The 18860-nt window shown below is 46.3% G+C and overlaps 1 protein-coding gene across 9 annotated transcripts in view; it reads right to left on the bottom strand.

Annotated features, from left to right (window-relative positions):
• TMC7 (transmembrane channel like 7) overlaps positions 1-18860 on the bottom strand; it is an 80009-nt gene that overhangs the window by 2704 nt on the left and 58445 nt on the right. For 6 of the 9 annotated variants that reach the window (XM_047434662.1, NM_024847.4, NM_001324263.1 and 3 more), the window contains 6 exons: positions 16238-16355; positions 15801-15898; positions 13990-14176; positions 9423-9553; positions 4542-4697; positions 1745-1823 (listed from right to left, as the gene is read on the bottom strand). In XM_047434662.1, the coding sequence (XP_047290618.1) occupies positions 1745-1823; positions 4542-4697; positions 9423-9553; positions 13990-14176; positions 15801-15898; positions 16238-16355 (769 nt within the window). Of the gene's footprint in view, positions 1-1231; positions 1824-4541; positions 4698-9422; positions 9554-13989; positions 14177-15800; positions 15899-16237; positions 16356-18860 lie in introns of those variants that run through there. The other 3 variants (NR_136733.1, NM_001324265.1, NM_001300732.2) reach the window with 2 other exon arrangements.

Here is an 18860-nt window from a genome sequence, read left to right as displayed (position 1 = left end):
GAGTTCGAGACCAGCCTGGCCAACAAGGTGAAACCCCGAAACCCCGTCTCTACTAAAAATACAAAAAATTAGCCGGGCGTGGTGGCAGGTGCCTGTAATCCCATCTACTTGGGATGCTGAGGCAGGAGAATTGCTTGAACCCAGGAGGTGGAGGTTGCAGTGAACTGAGATCACACCACTGCACTCCAGCCTGGGCGACAGAGTGAGACCCTGTCTCAAAGGAAAAAAAAAAAAAAAAAGACTGGCCATCATGGTGAAACCCCTTCTCTACTAAAAATACAAAAGTTAGCCGGTTGTGATGGTGGGTGCCTGTAATCCCAGCTACTTGGGAGGCTGAGGAAGGAGAATCAATTGAACCCGGGAGGTGGAGGTTGCAGTGAGCTGAAATTGCGGCACTGCACTCCAGACTGGGTGACAGAGCAAGACTCTGTCTCAAAAAAAAAAAAAAATGCACAGTAGACTCTTACAAACCCTTCAGCAGCTTCCCATCCCACTCAGAATAAAACTCTAAACAGAGCCCTCAAGGCACTGTGACTTGATGACTCTGGTTGCTATTACAATATCACCTTGCCTCTTCCCATCACTCACCACCCTGTGGCCACACTGTCCCCTCCCTCCTGTCCCCCTGAAGTGCCTGGCTCATTTCTTTACTGTGCTCTTTGCCTCTTACTTTCATCCTTAAATAGGACCTCAGATAATGGGCTCCTCTCTCTATTATTCAAGTCTCAGCTAGGGTCCAGGCATAGTGGCTCATGCCTGTAATCCCAGCACTTTGGGGAACTGAGAGGGGACAATCACTTGAGCCCAGGAGTTCAAGACCAGCCTGGGCAACATAGGGAGACCTCATGTCTATAAAAAATTTAAAAATTAGCCAGGCATGGTGATGCACGCCTGTAGTCCCAGCTACTTGGGAGGCTAAGGTGGGAGGATGGCTTGAGACCAAGAGTTTGAGGCTGCTGTGAGCTATGACCACACAATCGCACTCCAGCCTGGGCGAGAGAGTGAGACCCCGTCCTGAATAAAAAAATAAAAAAAAATCACCTCCTCAAAGAAGCCTTCTACAGCCGCATCTGCAGTAACTGATAGCCCGCTTGTCACTCTACCTTGTTTTTATTGTCTTCATAGAAGCTATAATTAATCAGCATTTATCTTATTAACTACCCAGCAGCTTTGTCTCTTGTTCACCAAAGCGTCCCAGCACCCAGCATAGTACAAGGCACAGAGTAGGTACTTAATACACATCTTTTTTTATTTTTATTTTTAAGATGGAGTCTCACTCTGTCACCCAGGCTGGAGTGCAATAGCGCAATCTCAGCTCACTGCGACCTCCACCTCCTGAGTTCAAGGGATTCTCCTGCCTCAGCCTCCCAAGTAGCTGGGATTACAGGTGCCCACCACCACGCCCAACTACTTTTTGTATTTTTAGTAGAGACGGGGTTTCACCATGTTGGCCAGGCTGGTCTTGAACTCCTGAGCTCAAGTAATCTGCCTGCCTCGGCCTCCCAAAAGTGCTGGGATTACAGGCATGAGCCACCACATCCCCCTTAATACACATCTTGAAGGAATGGATGAATCAGTGAATTAATGAAGCTGGACGCGGCTGGGCCTCAAGGCAGAGTTTTGGGGAGGTGGTGGTGAGAGAAGGCTGCAGTAATTTCACTCCCTCCCAGGAAAACAGCACTTTCCTTGCAGTGTCCTGGGTAAATGTCCCCAGCCATGACCCTCTGGAGCTATGCTTCCTTACCAGGGATAGCTGCTCTCGGAGCTGGATGACCACCCGTTTGTGTGCTCCAGCTAAGGCAATGAAGTAAAACATGATGAGGCTGCAACACAAGACAGACAGGTCACAAGGGAGTCTGGATCATCTGAAGGCCAATAGAAAAATAACCCAACATATTTTTCCTTGGAACAGTTTTACTCTTGTTAGAAAAGAAGGCTGGGCATGATGGCTCATTTTATAATACCAGTGCTTTGCCCAGGCAGAAGGATCACTTAAGGCTGGGAGTTTGAGACCAGCCCAGGCAACATAGGGAGAGCCCCACCTCTAGAAAAATAAAATATGGCCGGGCGCAGTGGCTCACACCTGTAATCCCAGCACTTTGGGAGGCCGAGGCAGGCGGATCACCTGAGGTCAGGAATTTGAGACCAGCCTGACCAACATGGTGAAACCCCGTCTCTACTAAAAATACAAAAGTTAGCTGGGCGTGGTGGTGGACGCCTATAATCCCAGCTACTCAGGAGGCTGAGACAGGAGAATCCCTTGAACCCAAGAGGCAAAGGTTGCAGTGAGCTGAGATCGCATCACTGCACTCCAGCCTGGGCGGCAGAGCAAGCCTCCGTCTAAAAAAAAGGAAAAGAAAATGTAAAATTAGCCAGACATGGTGGCGTGAGCCTGTAGTCCCCAGCTACTCAGGAAGCTAAGGTGGGAGAATCTGAGCCCAGAAGTTCAAGGCTGCAGTGAGCTATGATCACATTACCATACTCCAGACTGGGCAACAGAGCCAGACCCTGTCTCCACAAAAAATAAAGAAAACCCTCATCTCTTCCAAGCAGAGGGTATAAGAAACAGCTACTGAAGTTTTTATTTGGCAGTGGCAGCAGAATCTGACTTATGCCTTGCTTTTTACTTTTAATATTAAAATTTGCAGATGTTCGCCTTGTACATACAGAATGACAGAAAGAGAGAGAATGACATGGTTGAGAAAGTCAGCTGAGCATGTAATTAACACGTGGATGATCACTGTGGAGGCTCTCTAGCCCATTTCCTCATTTGTAAAATAGGGAAAACATAATAAAACCCAGTGTTTGCAAGCTTGGGATAAAATTATTTTATTTATTTTATTTATTTATTTATTTTTGAGACGGAGTTTCACTCTCGTTGCCCAGGCTTGAGTGCAATGGCGCGATCTCAGCTCACTGCAACCTCTGCCTCTCGGGTTCAAGGAATTCTCCTGCCTCAGCCTCCTAAGTAGCTAGGATTACATGCCTGACTAATTTTATATATTTTTTAGTAGAGACGGTGTTTCACCATGTTGGTCAGGCTGCTCTCGAACTCCTGACCTCAAGTGATCCACCCGCCTCGGCCTCCCAAAGTGCTGGGATTACAGGCGTGAGCCACTATGCCTGGCTGATAATATCATTTTAATTAAAAGCAATCAAATCCAGGTGTAGTAGAAGGTGCCTGGTGCCTGGTGTCCCAGCTACTCAGGAGGCTAAGGAGGGAGGACCACTTAAGCTCAAGACCCACCTGGGCAACATAGCAAGACACTGTCTCCTAAAAAAAAAAAAAAATCAACTGCTGGCTTCTGTCTTCTGTGCAGCTCTAGATCTGAAATGGGGGTGGTTAAAGTTATTATATTTGGGGAGAGGGGCAAATGGAATGGAGGGCAAGCCCTCATAAAAACAGAAGGCAACCTCACTGAATGAAGGGAAGGTGGTTTCCTATCCAGTCTCCTCAGACAAGGCTGATGAAATGAGGGCCAAGTAACCAGGAGATCCTGAAATCAGTGACGTCCACAGTATTCCCCTGGAAGTCCCTGAGATACTTAAGTCAGATCAGAGAAGTGCTACCAGGTGGCACCAGCCAAAGCACTGCTGGGGTGAACCCATTAGGGTGAAGCGGCTGGAGCCCTGGATCCTACGAATTTGAGTCTGGCTAGCTGCACAGCTCCCCCAAGTCATTGTATTAATCTCATCAAAGGTATCCTGCCTTTTTACAGGTACATTTCTTTGGGCTCACTTCTTGTATTATGCTGGGGTTTTACTGTAAGAATATCTGCATCACAGAGTAATTGCGATGATTTCATGAGTTAGTACATGCAAGGTACAATTAATGCCAGTTATTCATGGCTTATAAGTGGTAGAGCCAGGGTTCAAGGGCATGCTTCTAATCTGATGTTCATCTCTCTGCTCAGAAATCTGTTCCTTGTCAAAGAGCAAGAGATTCTGTAAATAAACAGTAATGTTAATAATAGGCAATATATATTAGCTTTTTATAAGCCAGGCATTGGGCTAAGTGTGATCTTTCTTAATTTGCCCAATGAGCCTCTGAAAGAGTGACTATTATTATGCCTAGTTTATTTATTTATTTATTTGTTTTTGAGACAGGGTCTTATTCTGTCACCCAGGCTGGAGTGCAGTGGTATGATCTTGGCTCACTGCAACCTCAACCTCCCAGGTTCAAGCGATTCTCATGCCTCAGCCACCTGAGTAGCTGGCATTACAGGCATGCACCACCATGCCCAGCTAATTTTTGTTACTTATTTATTTATTTTTTTGTAGAGTCGGGGTGTCCCTGTGCTGTCCAGGCTGGTCTCGAACTCCTGGCCTCAAGTGATCTGCCCGCCTCAGCCACCCAAAGTGTTGGGATTACAGGCATGAGCCACCGCGCCTGGCCTATTATGCCCATTTTAGAGATGGGAAAGTGCAGTTCAAAGAAGCTCAGTAACTTGTCAAGTCTAGGGTGACCCCGCCCCGACCGCCGCCATTTCCCAATGGGAGGAGCCCACGTGCCTCAGTGGGTCCTGGTGGTTCTCACTCACCAAATAATCATGAAGAAAGGAACTGCAAAGGCTTCGGATGTGACACCATGGATGAAGGACTGCAGCGAGCTGGGGAAGGTGCTCACCGTCTTGGGGATGACCTCCCAGGTGGTGTTGAAGTTGGTGAACGGCCCACAGGCTTTCGAGGAAGGGATGCTGCCAGGACACAGACCAACGGGCTCAGAAGGAGCGTGCAGCACAGGTTGAGTGTCCCGCCCCTGTACACCCAGAATGTTTTGTTAACAATGGCCTACAGGGAGCCACCTAACCTCCTGGGCCTTCTGGAATGTTTGAGTCGAAAATGCTTACCCTGGCTGGGCGCGGTGGCTCACGAATGTCATCCCAGCACTTTGGGAGGCCGAGGCGGGTGGATCACCTGAGGTCAGGAGTTCGAGACCAGGCTGACCAACGTGGTGAAACCCCATCTCTACTAAAAATACAAAAATTAGCCGGGCATGGTGGTGCATGCCCACCCAGCTACTTGGGAGGCTGAGGTAGGAGAATCACTTGAACCTGGGAGGCGGAGGTTGCAGTGAGCAGAGATTGCACCACTGCACTCCAGCCTGGGCAACAAGGGCAAAACTCCGTCTCAAAAAAAAAAAAGAAAGAAAGAAAGAAAGAAAATGCTTACCCTGAAATTTTATCAAGTCTCTAGACCTAACTTCCAGTTTACAGGAAATTCAGGACAGAAGAGCAAGTTAAATGACAGTGTAAGAAAATAACAAGACAAATCCAAAATGTGGGCATTCTATTCTCCGGTCTCTTAATTTAGAAGTGAGGAAACTGGCCTGGACTCTTCAAAGAATCAGGGATTAAAAGAGACTAAGGAAGGAGAGCATTAGGAAAAATAGCTAACGTATGCTGGGCTTAATACCTAGGTGACGGGGGTAGGTATAGCAAACCACCATGGCACACATTTACCTAGGTAACAAACCTGCACGTCCTGCACATGTACCCCAGAACTTAAAATTTAAATTTAAATTTAAAAAAAGAGAGACTAAGGAGATAGAAGAAATAGAAGCAATGGGTCAAACTTGAAAGATCACTATTTTAAAAACAAATCTGTAATCCCAGCACTTTGGGAGGCCAAGGCGGGTGTATCACATGAGGTCAGGAGATGGAGGCCAACCTGGCCAACGTGGTGAAACCACGTCTCTACTAAAAATACAATAATTAGCTGGGCATGGTGGTGGGCGCCTGCAATCCCAGCTACTCGGGAGGCTGAGGCACGAGAGTTGCTTGAACCCAGGAAGTGGAGATTGCAGTGAGCCGAGATCGGGCCACTGTACTCCAGCCTGGGCGACAGAGCGACATGCCATCTCCAAAAAAAAAGCTATACTAAAGACTATTTAGGGGACAATTGGAGAAATTTAAAATGACAGAAACATGGTATTAGTATTAATCTTCTTAAGTGTGATATATTATTGTGGAAACACATAAAAGAGAGTGCCATTAGTCTTAGGAGCTGCACACTAAAGTATTTAGCAGTGAAATATTATGATGTCTATAAGTTAATTTCAAATTATTTCCTATCCAAAAAAAAGTATGCATAGAGAAAACAAATCCAGTTGGCCCCCCATATCCAAAGGTTCTTCATCAAATTCAGCCAACCTTAGATAAAAATATTTGAAAAATAAAAAATAACAATATGGCCAGGTGCGGTGGCTTGTGCCTATAATCCCAGCACTTTGGGAGGCCGAGGCAGATGGATCACTTGAGGTCGGGAGTTCAAGAGCAGCCTGCCCAATATGGCGAAACCCCGTCTCTACTAAAAATACAAAAATTAGCCAGGCGTAGTGGCAGCACGTGCCTGTAATCCCAGCTACTTGGGAGGATGAGACAGGAGAATCGCTTGAACCTGGGAGACGGAGGTTGCAATGAGCCAAGATGGTGACACTGCACTCCAGCCTGGGTGACAGAGTGAGACTCCCTCTCAAAAAAAAAAAAAAAAAAAAAAGCAAATCCCATGCTTTTTTTTTTTGAGACAGAGTTACACTCTTGTTGCCCAGGCTAGAGTGGCATTGGTGCAATCTCGGCTCACTGCAACCTCTGCCTCCCAGGTTCAAGTGATTCTCGTGCCTCAGCCTCCGGAATAGCTGGGATTACAGGCGCCCACCACCACACCCAGCTAATTTTGTATTTTTAGTAGAGACAGGGTTTCTCCATGTTGGTCAGGCTGGTCTCGAACTCCTGACCTCAGGTGATCCGCCCTCCTTGGCCTCCCAAAGTGCTGGGATTACAGGAGTGAGCCACCGCGCCCAGCCTACCATGCCATTTTATAGCAAGGACTTGAGCATCTGAAGATTTTAATGTGGTTGGGGGGGAAGATCATGGAACCAGTTCCCCAAAGGTCCTGAGGGAGACTGCATAGTAAAATGTTAACAATTGGGACATCCAGTTGAAGGGCATATGCGTTTTACTGCTGCTAGTTTTTCAGCTTTTCTGTAGATTTAAACTTTTTCAAAATGAAAAGGAGAGAAAAAAATAAAATAAAATTACAATAGGAAAGCACTAAAATTAAGACCTGGAAAGAACTGACTAAATTCACATCACAAAGGTCTGTGTATAAGACTTTCCATTGCAGCCCTTTATGTAGGGATAAAAATAAATTGCTGGAAACAACCTAAATGTTGTTTAAGGAAATGGATGAACAATTTATGGCCCATTCATATGACTGAATACTGAAGAACCATTGAGAGAAAAAGAGAGAAAAGTGGCCAGTCACGGTGGCTCACGCCTGTAATCCCAGTGCTTTGAGAGGTGGAGGTGGGAGGATCACTTGGGCTCAGGAGTTCAAGACTAGCCTGGGCAACATAGCAAGATCGCATCTTTAAAAAAAAAAAAAAAAGAAAGAAAAGACACAGATATGAGGAGATGACCATCACTCAGGAAAATTAAGTACTTGAGAAGGAATGAGAAAATGAATTTTCACCATTTTTTAAAATATCTTTTGAATTTTGTGCTATGTGAATGCATTTCCTATTTTAAAAAATCAGGCCGAGCACAGTGGCTCACGCCTGTAATCCCAGCACTTTGGGAGACCGAGGCAGTCAGATTACCTGCGGTCGGGAGTTTGATACCAGCCTGACCAACATGGAGAAACCCCGTCTTTACTAAAAATACAAAATTAGCCGGGCATGGTGGCACATGCCTGTAATCCCAGCTACTCTGGAGGCTGAGGCAGGAGAATCGCTTGAACCTGGGAGGCAGAGGTTGCGGTGAGCCAAGATCGCGCCACTGCACTCCAGCCTGGGCAACAAGAGCGAAACTCTGTCTCAAAAAGAAAAAAAAATCAAAGCTAAAAATATTTTTGAAAGAAGAGTTTAGTATGTCCATGGACATGGGAAAGGATACAATATAAAACTAACTGGAAAAAAAAGAAAAAAAAAAGAATATTAATGAAAAAATAATTACCAAGCAGGATTATACTATTATCTCACGTTTTCTTAAAAAATAAATAATTGCTTTTCATAAAGAATTTCTGGAAGTATTCATAAGAAAATGTTAACAGTTGTTACGTAACCTATGGAGAGTGAGAATAAGAGGTGAAGATAAGGAGCAATTTTTTTCTCTTCAATTTACACCCTTCTGTACTGCTTGAATTTTTTATATAATGTATATTATCATAACAATAAAGAGCAACAAAACACATACAGAATCAAAGTGTTAAAAAAGAATAAAATCTGGTCAAGCATGGTAGCTCATGTCTGTAATCCAAGCACTTTGGGAGGCCGACATGGGTGGATCATTTGAGATCAGGAGTTCGAGACCAGCCTGGCCAACATGGCGATACCCTGTCTCTACTAAAAATACAAAAATTAGCTGGGTGTGGTGGCAGGTCCCTGTAATCCCAGCTACTTGGGAGGCTGAGGCCATAGAATTGCTTGAACCTGGGAGGCAGAGGTTGCAGGGAGCCAAGATCACACCACTGCACTCTATCCTGAGCAACAGAGTGAGACCGTGTCTCATAAAAAAAAAGAACAAAATCTGAGAGAGGGACTCAAAGTTCCAGGCTTTTCCTATTTTTTTGTTTGTTTTTTTGTTTTTAATTTGAGACAAGGTCTTGCTATGTTGCCAATGCTGGTCTCGAACTCCTTGGCTCAACCAGTACCCCCACCTGGGCCTCCCAAAGTGTTGGATTACAGGTGTGAGCCACCGCACCCAGTACAGGCTTTTAATTTAAAGGTGAAGAAACAAAATTTGGCCTGGTGTGGTGGTTCATGCCTGTAATCCCAATACTTCAGGAGGCTGAAGCAAGAGGATCATTGAGCTCAGGAGTTTGAGATCAGCCTGGGCAACATAGTGAGCCCTTGTCTCTACAGAAAAATTAAAAAGTTTAAATAATTAGCCAGGCATGGTGGTGCACACCTGTAGTATCAAGTTACTCAGGAGGCTGAGGGAAGAAGATCGCTTGAGTCTTGGAAGTCTTGTCAGCCTCTGTGGGTAGAACACCATGAGAAAAGCCAATAAAGGCACAGTGCGTCACGCCTGTAATCCGAGTACTTTGGGAGGCCAAGGCGGGCGGATCACCTGAGGTCAGGAGTTTGAGACCAGCCTGGCCAACGTGGCGAAACCCTGTCACTACTAATAAATATAAAAATCAGCTGGGCATAGTGGAACACACCTGTAGTCCCAGCTACTCAGGAGGCTGTTTGAACCTGGGGAGATGGAGTTTGTAGTCCCAGCTACTCGGGAGAATCATTTGAACCTGGGAGACGGAGGTTGCAGTGAGCCAAGACTGCGCCACCACACTCCAGCCTGGGTGACAGAGCAAGACTCCATCTCAAAAAAAAAAAAAATGTGATATGACGGACGCTTTTACATAAAAGAGGAAGAGGTCAAGAAGCAATGAAATGTTCTAGAAAACAAAGTCACATTTACCGTGATATGCTGATTGTCAGAGGTATTATTGCCAAACACAGCCCGATCAACAACACCAACAGGAAGAAGAAATTAGAATTGGATGCTCTGAACGGCCTGGGGGAGGGTCTGCAGGTGTAAAGCAGACTCCACTACAAGGAGAAAAAGAAAGAAAAATTAAGATCAATAAGTACAGCTTCTGTGAAGATAAATAAGTGCATTCCTGCATTACAGTGGGAATGTTAATCACTCTAACCTTTCCAGAGGGTAGTCCAGCAATACAGATCAAAATGAAAAAGGTTTCATCCAAACTATCACAAGGACAAAAAACCAAACACCGCATGTTCTCACTCATAGGTGGGAATTGAACAATGAGAACACATGGACACAGGAAGGGGAACATCACACACCGGGGACTGTTGTGGTGTGGGGGGAGGGGGGAGGGATAGCATTAGGAGACATACCTAATGCTAAATGACAAGTTAATGGGTGCAGCACAACAACATGGCACATGTATACATATGTAACAAACCTGCACGTTGTGCACATGTACCCTAAAACTTAAAGTATAATAATAATAAAATTAAAAAAAAAAAAAAGATTTTGGTGGAGAAAAAAATCCAAAAAAAAAAAGGTTTCATCCAGACTCCAAACTTTGGAGAATTCATGCTGATGAAATAGAAGGGGAAATGGGCCAAAACACAGGTATGTGGATGTTTAACGCTACAGTCATTGATAACACGGAATAACTGCAAGCAACCTAAATAGCTATCAGTGGGGGCTCGTGGCTGCGTGAGACATCTCACGTCTGTAATTCCAGCACTTTGGGAGGTCAGAACGGGAGGATCACTTGAGGCCAGGACTTTGAGGCTGCAGTGAGCTATGATCATGCCATTGCATTCCAGCTTGGGCAACAGAGAGAGACCCTGTCTCAAAAAGAAAAGTGAAGGTGGGGAGCAGGAGTTCATTAGGTTATAGTTAAAGGTTAAAGTACATCTATATAGCATGAAATACCATACAGTCCTAAAGAAGGATGAGGCCGGGCGTGGTGGCTCACGCCTGTAATCCCAGCACTTCGGGAGGCCTAGGTGGGTGGATCACTTGAGGCCAGGAGTTCGAGACCAGCCTGGCCAACATGGTGAAACCCCATCTCTATTAAAAAAAACCCTGTCTCTACAAAAATTAGCCAGCCATGGTGGTGTGCACCTGTATTCCCAGCTACTTGGGAGGCTGAGGTGGGAGGATGGATTGAGCCCAGGAGGTTGAGGCTGTAGTGAGCTGTATCATGCTACTGTGCCACTGCCCTAAGTCTGGGTGAGACCCCGTCTCAAAAAAGAAAAAAGAAGGATGAGAGACAGCTTTACATCCCCATGTGGCACTGTGAAAATGGTAGATTTCAAAACTCCGTACAAGATGAATTCATTTAAGTTTTTTGTTTTTTTTGGTTTTTTTTTTTTTTTTTTTTTTTTTTGAGACGGAATCTCGCTCTGTCTCCCAGGCTGGAGTGTAGTAGCGCGATCTCGGCTCACTGCAAGCTCCGCCTCCCGGATTCATGCCATCCTGCTCAGCCTCCCGAGTAGCTGGGACTACAGGCACCCGCCACCAAGCCCGGCTAATTTTTTGTATTTTTAGTAGAGATGGGGTTTCACCGTGTTAGCCAGGATGGTCTCGATCTCCTGACCTCGTGATCCACCGGCCTCGGCCTCCCAAAGTGCTGGGATTACAGGCATGAGCCACCGGGCCCGGCCATTTAAGTTTTTTTTAAGTATGTATTCCTTATAGGGATTTAAACATGTATAACTGTATCTACAATAATATACACCAAATTAGGAGTTCCTTTATTTGAAGTTTTTTACAAGCACATATATTTTCTCCTACATGTTAAAAATAAGTATTTCCATTGAGGGAAGAAAGACTTGAAGGAAATATCAAATGGGGAGTAAGAAAGGATATAATGGTAACAGGCATGAAATTTCTCAATAGTTTAAAAAGCTGTGTTACTGCGCAGGGACATAAGTTCTTCTGAATTCAGGAGGAGCCGGAACATCTTGTGAGCCAGAGGACACTGAGTACCGAAGATACTTGGTGCCCAGCCTCGGGGCAGCCGGCGGGACATGCCTGGTGTGAGTGACGGAAGTGAGGCCAGGTACCCACCATGACCCAACCCATCACCCCACAGTGTCTGTACTATGCTACACACTGCGAAGCCACGGGCTAATCAGTATTTCCTGGAAAGGGAAAAAAAAGTTCCTGTGAGCTTTCTCACGTCCATCTCTCCTTTGATGATTTCGGCCAACCTGTGTTTTCAAGTGAAAGCATCAGAACATTCTTCAAAAGCCAAAACATCCAGGTAGAACGGTTGGCCCAATTCAGGGCCTTGCTTACTGGGTTAAGAGCTTAGGCTCTGGAGTGAAATAAACCTGGGTTCAAATCCAAGGGGTCACTTAAAAGCTGTGTGACCTTGGACCAGTTTCTCTGAACTTCAGCTTCCTAATTTATAAAATATGACACTTTGGCCGGGCGCAGTGGCTCACACCTGTAATCCCAGCACTTTGGGAGGCCAAGGCAGGCAGATCACTTGAGGCCAGGAGTTGGAGACCAGCCTGGCCAACATGGTGAAACGCTGTCTCTACTAAAAATACAAAAATTAGCTTGGCACGGTGGCGCATGCCTGTAATCCCAGCTGCTCAAGAGGCTGAGGCACAAGAATCGCTTGAACCCTGGAGGCAGAGGCTGCAGTGAGCTGAGATCACGCCACGGCACTCCAACTTGGAGTGAGGCCCTGTCTCAAAAAAAAATTTCTTAACTAAAATATAATCTAGTACTTTGTCAAAGGGTGGGTGTAATCAGTGCATGATAATTTGTGTAAAGTAATGGCAGAGTGGGGACACATGGCATTATTATCTGCTATTATTACTAACACCATTATTATCATTATTAACACTATTGTTATGATTTTCAATTTTGAATCCTCAGGGCCTGGCATAACAGGTAATCAATAAACGTTGGGCTTGTTAACAGAGGGTACCTCTGGAAGAAGGGACAGAAATTACTGTATACATATGTGCATTATTTAAATGTTTAATATTGTATTGCCTCTATAATAAAGAAAAAAGAGGCTGGGCGCAGTGGCTCATGCCTATAATCCCAGCACTTTGGGAGGCTGAGGCGGGCAGATCACCTGAGGTCGGGAGTTCAAGACCAGCCTGACCAACATGGAGAAACTCTCTCTCTAATAAAAATACAAAATTAACCGGGCGTGGTGGCACATGCCTGTAATCCCAGCTACTCAGGAGGCTGAGGCAGGAGAGTCACTTGAACCCGGGAGGTGGAGGTTGCCGTGAGTCAAGATCATGCCATTGCACTCCAACCTGGGCAACAAGAGCAAAACTCCATCTCAAAAAATAAAATAAAATAAAGAAAGAAAAAAGAGGTTAATATGCCCAGATGAGCCAGTCATCTGCAAGGCTACATCCCTCATTAGCACTTAGATCTGGTGCAATGGACTGTGAACCGCCCAGGGTCTTACACAAATCATTGAAACCCGAAAATAAATGCACTGGTCCAGGCGGGGTGGCTCACACCTGCAATTCCAGCACTTTGTGGGGTTGAAGCAGAAGGATTACTTGAGCCCTGGAGTACAAGACCAGCCTGGACAACATGGCAAGACCTCCATCTCTAATTTAAAAAAAAAAAAAAATTCAAAAAAACCAAACAAATAAAAAAAATGCATTGGCTCCAAAATACAACAGAAAATTACAAAATACATCCAGCCTTAATAAAAAAAATTCTTAACAAAACTCTCAAAATTATAAAAACATAAAAATTCATCAAGAGTAGGCCGGGTGCGGTGGCTCACGCCTGTAATCCCAGCACTTTGGGAGGCCGAGGCGGGTGGATCACGAGGTCAGGAGTTCAAGACCAGCTTGGCCAAGATGGTGAAACCCCGTCTCTACTAAAAGTACAAAAATCACAGCGCACCTGTAATCCCAGCTACTCAGGATGCTGAGGCAGGAGAATCGCTCGAACCTGGGGGGGCAGAGGTTGCAGTGAGCCGAGATCGTGCCACTGCACTCCAGCCTGGATGACAGAGCGAGACTCTATCTCAAAAAAAAAAAAAAAAATCCATCAAGAGTCTTTTTCGGCCGGGCACGGTGGCTCACGCCTGTAATCCCAACACTTTAGGAGGCCGAGGCGGGTGGATCATGAGGTCACAAGTTCAAGACCAACCTGGCCAAGATGGTGAAACCCCGTCTCTACTAAAAACACAAAAATTAGCCAGGCGCAGTGGCAGGCTCCTGTAGTCCCAGCTACTCGGGAGGCTGGGGCAGGAGATCACTTGAACTTAGGAGGGGGAGGTTGCAGTGAGCCGAGATCACGCCACTGCACTCCAGCCTGGGTGACAGAGTGAGACTCCATCTCAAAAAAAAAAAAAAAGCAATATTTTTCTAGAATAAACATATATTTTAAATAAAGGATGTAATTTTGATACGTCTCATGGGATGTGAGGTGAGCTCCAGACATATTGGTGCCCTGGAAGGTCGAAAATGGCCCAGTATATGAGCCCCCATTCCCACCGGCTCCTTACCTCTTTCACATAGAAGATGATAATGAATTTCAGGGTTGCAATTGCAGGGAGAAGGGGTGAGAAAAAGGCTCCGATCCAGCAGATGGTTTGCCCGTAAACTATCCCCAGGACGTTATCAGGAATGGCAAACTCCTGCTGCCCCCAGCACTGAATCAGCTTGCAAGAGGAACAGTAGGTCACCAGGAGCCTGGAAACAGACAATTCTCATTTGGGCTACTGGTGTCTGCCAAGGCCACAGAACCATATCACAAAGATCAGGACTATTTCCATGCATATTTCTCATGGACACTGGTTAGTCAAATGTCTTAAAGATGCAGAATATAATGAACTCTGGAATCATTAAGATCAGGTTCCAAGTCTCAGATCTATAGTTCAGCACTGAAATTCATACAATCCTTGACTTTTTTTTTTTTTTTTGAGACAAGGTCTCACTCTGTTACTCAGTATGGAGTGTAGTGGTGCAATCATAGCTCACTGTACCCTCGACCTCCAAGGCTCAAGTGATCCTCCTGCCTCAGCCTCCCAAGTGGCTGAGACTACATGTGCATGCTTGGCTAATTGGCTAATTTTTGTGTTTTGTAGGGACAGGGTCTCGCTATTTTGCCCAGGCTGGTCTCAACCTCCTGGCCTCAAGTGATCCTCCTACCTTGGCCTCCCCAGTGCTAGGATTATGGGTGTGAGCCACTGTGCCCAGGCTTCCATATTTATTTTTAAGGGCTCACTGGACCTCTGGCCTCTGCCTAGATTATCTGCATATGTGGGTAAACAGTGGTTAAGTGAACAGAGAATGATAACAGAAATGACAACACAGTTTATGATAATCATGCTGGTGATAGCTGATGTTTTGTTGAGTTCTATACTGTGGAGTGTTCTCAGTGCTTTTATCTGCATTAATTATCCCAGTTACTCCTCACCACAAAGTTACTGGGTGGGTACTACTACTATCCCCATTTTACAGATGAGAAAATAGGCACAGAGCTTAAATAACTTGCCCAAGGTCACATGACTAGCAAGGAGCAGGGAGGGAGTTTGAACCCAGATCGGGAGACAGGTGTCCACTGCAGCCTGGAAGGTCTGCACCTTTTGTGCTGATGGCAGAAGGTCATCCCCAGCAAAACCTCATGGAAAGCGACCCCATTTCTGCTCTTCATGCTGCCTTTAGATGGGCAACTAATGAATGCTGAGGTCAACAGCCTAGAGCTGCTTGAAAGTTTCCAGTTGTGAACAGACACAATGGTTCAAACCTGTAATCCCAGCACTTTGGAAGGCTGAGGCAGGAGGATCGTTTGAGGCCAGTTCGAGACCAGCCTGGGCAACATAGCAAGAGCCCCTCTCTACAAAAAATTAAAAACTTGGCCGGGCGCGGTGGCTCATGCCTATAATCCCAGCACTTTGGAAGCCCGAGGCAGGTGGATCACGAGGTCAGGATATCCAGACCATCCTGGCTAACATGGTGAAACCCCATCTCTACTAAAAATACAAAAAATTAGCCAGGCATGGTGGCACACACCTGTAGTCCCAGCTACTCGGGAGGCTGAGGCAGGAGAATCGCTTGAACCTGGGAGGCGGAGGTTGCAGTGAGCCAAGATCGCGCCACTGCACTCCAGCCTGGGTGACAGAGCAAGACCCTGCCTCAAAAAAAAAAAAAAAAAAAAAAAGAAAGTTACCAGTTGTCAGATTTCCAGGGCTGTAGAGTCATCCAGCAGCTTCTGGAATGCAGCTGCAATGGGACCCTCCAGTTGTGTGTGTGTGTATGTGTGTGTGTGCATGTGTGTGGTGGGGGGGATAATATGGGCACCCCTCGCACTTACTTTCTAGGAAAATCCACGAAGAGTGTCACAGCCAAGATGATGATGAAGTCGAAGATCATCAGCTTGTACATTTCCTGCCCAACTTGGGTCTCCCAGCACTGAAATCAAAGAGAGTGAGGGAAACTGAAAGACCCTAGCTGAGGCAGAGAAAACCAGGCTCCCAAGACACCTTCTAATTCCCTTTCCAACTCCAGATCCTGTGGCTCCAGTGAGGGCATCAGCTGATGCAAACTCTGAGCCTCAGCACAGACCTTGGTTTCCAAGCCCTCAGAAGTGCCTGGGGTTAGACTCCATGGGGCCAGACTCTGTCTCATCACTAGAACAAGAAAGCGAAGCAAATGCAGTTCAAACCCATGGCTTCAACCGCTGTTCTCTTGACCATGACACTGTATTCCAGAAGGACCCACCCAGCCGAACGCCCCCGCCCCGCAACTCACCGGGTAGAGTTTCTGGTTGTAGCCGCAAAGGTCACATGTGTCATCATCACAGGATGTGATCTTGGAGCCCAGCGTGAACACCAGGACACATATGGTGGCCAGCCGCATAAAGACACACCTTCGGGGAGAGAAGGAGAGAGGATGGGAAGATGAGGCCCTCAGGGTGGCTGGTCCCTTGGAACTGGGGCTAGGGAATGTAGAAGCTGCCTTTTTTTTTTTTTTTTTTTTTTTTTGAGATGGAGTGTTTGCTCTGTTGCCCAGGCTGGAGAGCAGTGGTGTGATCTCAGTTCTCCTGCCTCAGCCTCCCAAGTAGCGGGGATTACAGGTGTCTGCCACCATACCCAGCTAATTTTTTTTCTATTTTTAGTAGATCTGAGGTTTCACCATATTGCCCAGGTGGTCTCGAACTCCTGGCCCCAAGCAATCCGCCTGTCTTGGGCTCCCAAAGTGCTGGGATTATAGGTGTGAGCCACGGTGCCCAGCCCAAAGCTGCCTTTCTTAAAACCCCAGCCAGGCATAGTGGCTCACGCCTGTAATCCCAGCACTTTGGGAGGTAGAGACCAGAGGATCACGTGAGCCCTTAAGTTTGAGAACAACCTGGGCAGTAAAGTAAGACCACCACCCCCTGGCCGTCTCTACAAAAAAATAAAAATAAAAATGAGCAAGGTGTGGTGGTGACCCAGCTACACAGGAGGCTGAGTCAAGAGGATTGCTTGAGCCCAGAGGATTGTTTGAGCCCAGGAGATCAAGGCTGCAGTGAGCGGAGATTCAGCCACTGTACTCTAGCCTCAGGGACAGAGTGAGAAAAAACAAACAAACAAACAAAAAAACCAATGTCGGGCGTGGTGGCTCATGCCTGTAATCCCAGCATTTTGGGAGGCCGAGGCAGAGGGATCACCTGAGGTCAGGAATTCAAGACTGGCCTAGTCAACATGGTGAAACTGTCTCTACCAAAAATACAAAAATTAGCTGGGTGTGGTGGCACACGCCTGTAGTCCCAGCTAGTTCAGAGGCTGTGGCAGGAGAATCGCTTGAATCTGGGGCACAGAGGTTGCAGTGAGCCGAGATCACACCACTACACTCCAGCCTGGGCGACAGAGCAAGACTCCATCTCAAAGAAAACAAAAGCAGGCCGGGCGCGGTGGCTCACGCCTGTAATCCCAGCACTTTGGGAGGTAGAGGCAGGCAGATCATCTGAGGTCAGAAGTTCGAAACCAGCCTGACCAACATGGAGAAACCCCGTCTCCACTACAAATACAAAATTAGCTGGGCATGGTGGCACACATCCCTGCAATCTCAGCTACTCAGGAGGCTGAGGTGGGAGAATCTCTTGAACCTGGGAGGCGAAGGTTGCGGTGAGATAAGATCACGCCATTGCACTCCAGCCTAGACAACAAGAGCGAAACTCCATCTCAGAAATAAATAAATAAATAAATAATAAGCAAATGCCTAAATGGGTACAGAATTTCTGTTGGGGCTGTTGAAAAGGTTCTGGAGATGGATGCTGGTGATGACTGCATAACATTGGGGCTGTACTTAAATGCCACCAAATTGTACTCTGACAATGGTTAAAATGGCAACTTCTATGTTACATATATGTTACTACAATTTTTTTAAAAGATCAGAAAGCTGGGACCTCCTAATTCTGTGATGACATAGTGACACTACAAGACATGACACAGTCCTGAAAAGAACCAATGGAATCTTTTCTGTATCAGGGTCGCGGGATGTCTGGCATGCTGAAAAGTGAAAAAAAGTATGCTGCAGAGATATCACATAAATATGATCCTATTTTTGGAAGAAAAAACGTGAGTGTTGGCACAAACATAAGGAACTGTGCAGACAAAAACACACTGGATTCAAGGGAGGTGGGCGGAGACGGTGAGTTTTTGTTCTTGTTTTTTTTTTTAAGACAATTTTCCATTGTTTGGTTTGTAATACAAAAATAAATTAAGTAGCCGGGCACGGTGGCTCACGCCTGTAATCCCAGCACTTTGGGAGGCCGAGGTGGGCGGATCACGAGGTCAGGAGATCGAGACCATCCTGGCTAACACAGTAAAACCCCATCTCTACTAAAAGTACAAAAAATTAGCCGGGCATGGTGGCGGGGGCCTGTAGTCCCGGCTACTTGGGAGGCTGAGGCAGGAGAATGGCGTGAACCCGGGAGGCGGAGCTTGCAGTGAGCCGAGATCGCGCCACTGCACTCTAGCCTGGGTGACAGAGCGAGACTCCGTCTCGAAAAATAAAAATAAAAATAAAAAAATAAATTAAATAGAAACATTTGGCTAACATGGTGAAAGCCCATCTCTACTAAAAAATACAAAAAATTAGCCGGGCGTGGTGCCGGGCATCTGTAGTCCCAACTACTCGGGAGGCTGAGGCAGAAGAATGGCGTGAACCCGGGAGGCGGAGCTTGCAGTGAGCCAAGATCGAGCCACTGCATTCCAGCCTGGGCGACAAAGTGAGACTCCGTCTCAAAAAAAAGAAAAAAAAAAAAAAGAAGGAATAATTTAAAGAATAAGGGAGACTGGGCATGGTGGCTCATAAGCCTGTAATCCCAACACTTTGGGAGGCTGAGGTGGGAGAATTGCTTGAGCCCAGGAGTTTGAGAACAGCCTGGGCA

Source organism: Homo sapiens, chromosome 16 (assembly GCF_000001405.40).
Source record: "Homo sapiens chromosome 16, GRCh38.p14 Primary Assembly".
NCBI classification, from domain to species: domain Eukaryota; kingdom Metazoa; phylum Chordata; class Mammalia; order Primates; family Hominidae; genus Homo; species Homo sapiens.
The sequence above is the reverse complement of the archived record's forward strand: the minus strand, read 5'-3'. Positions and strand labels throughout refer to the sequence as shown.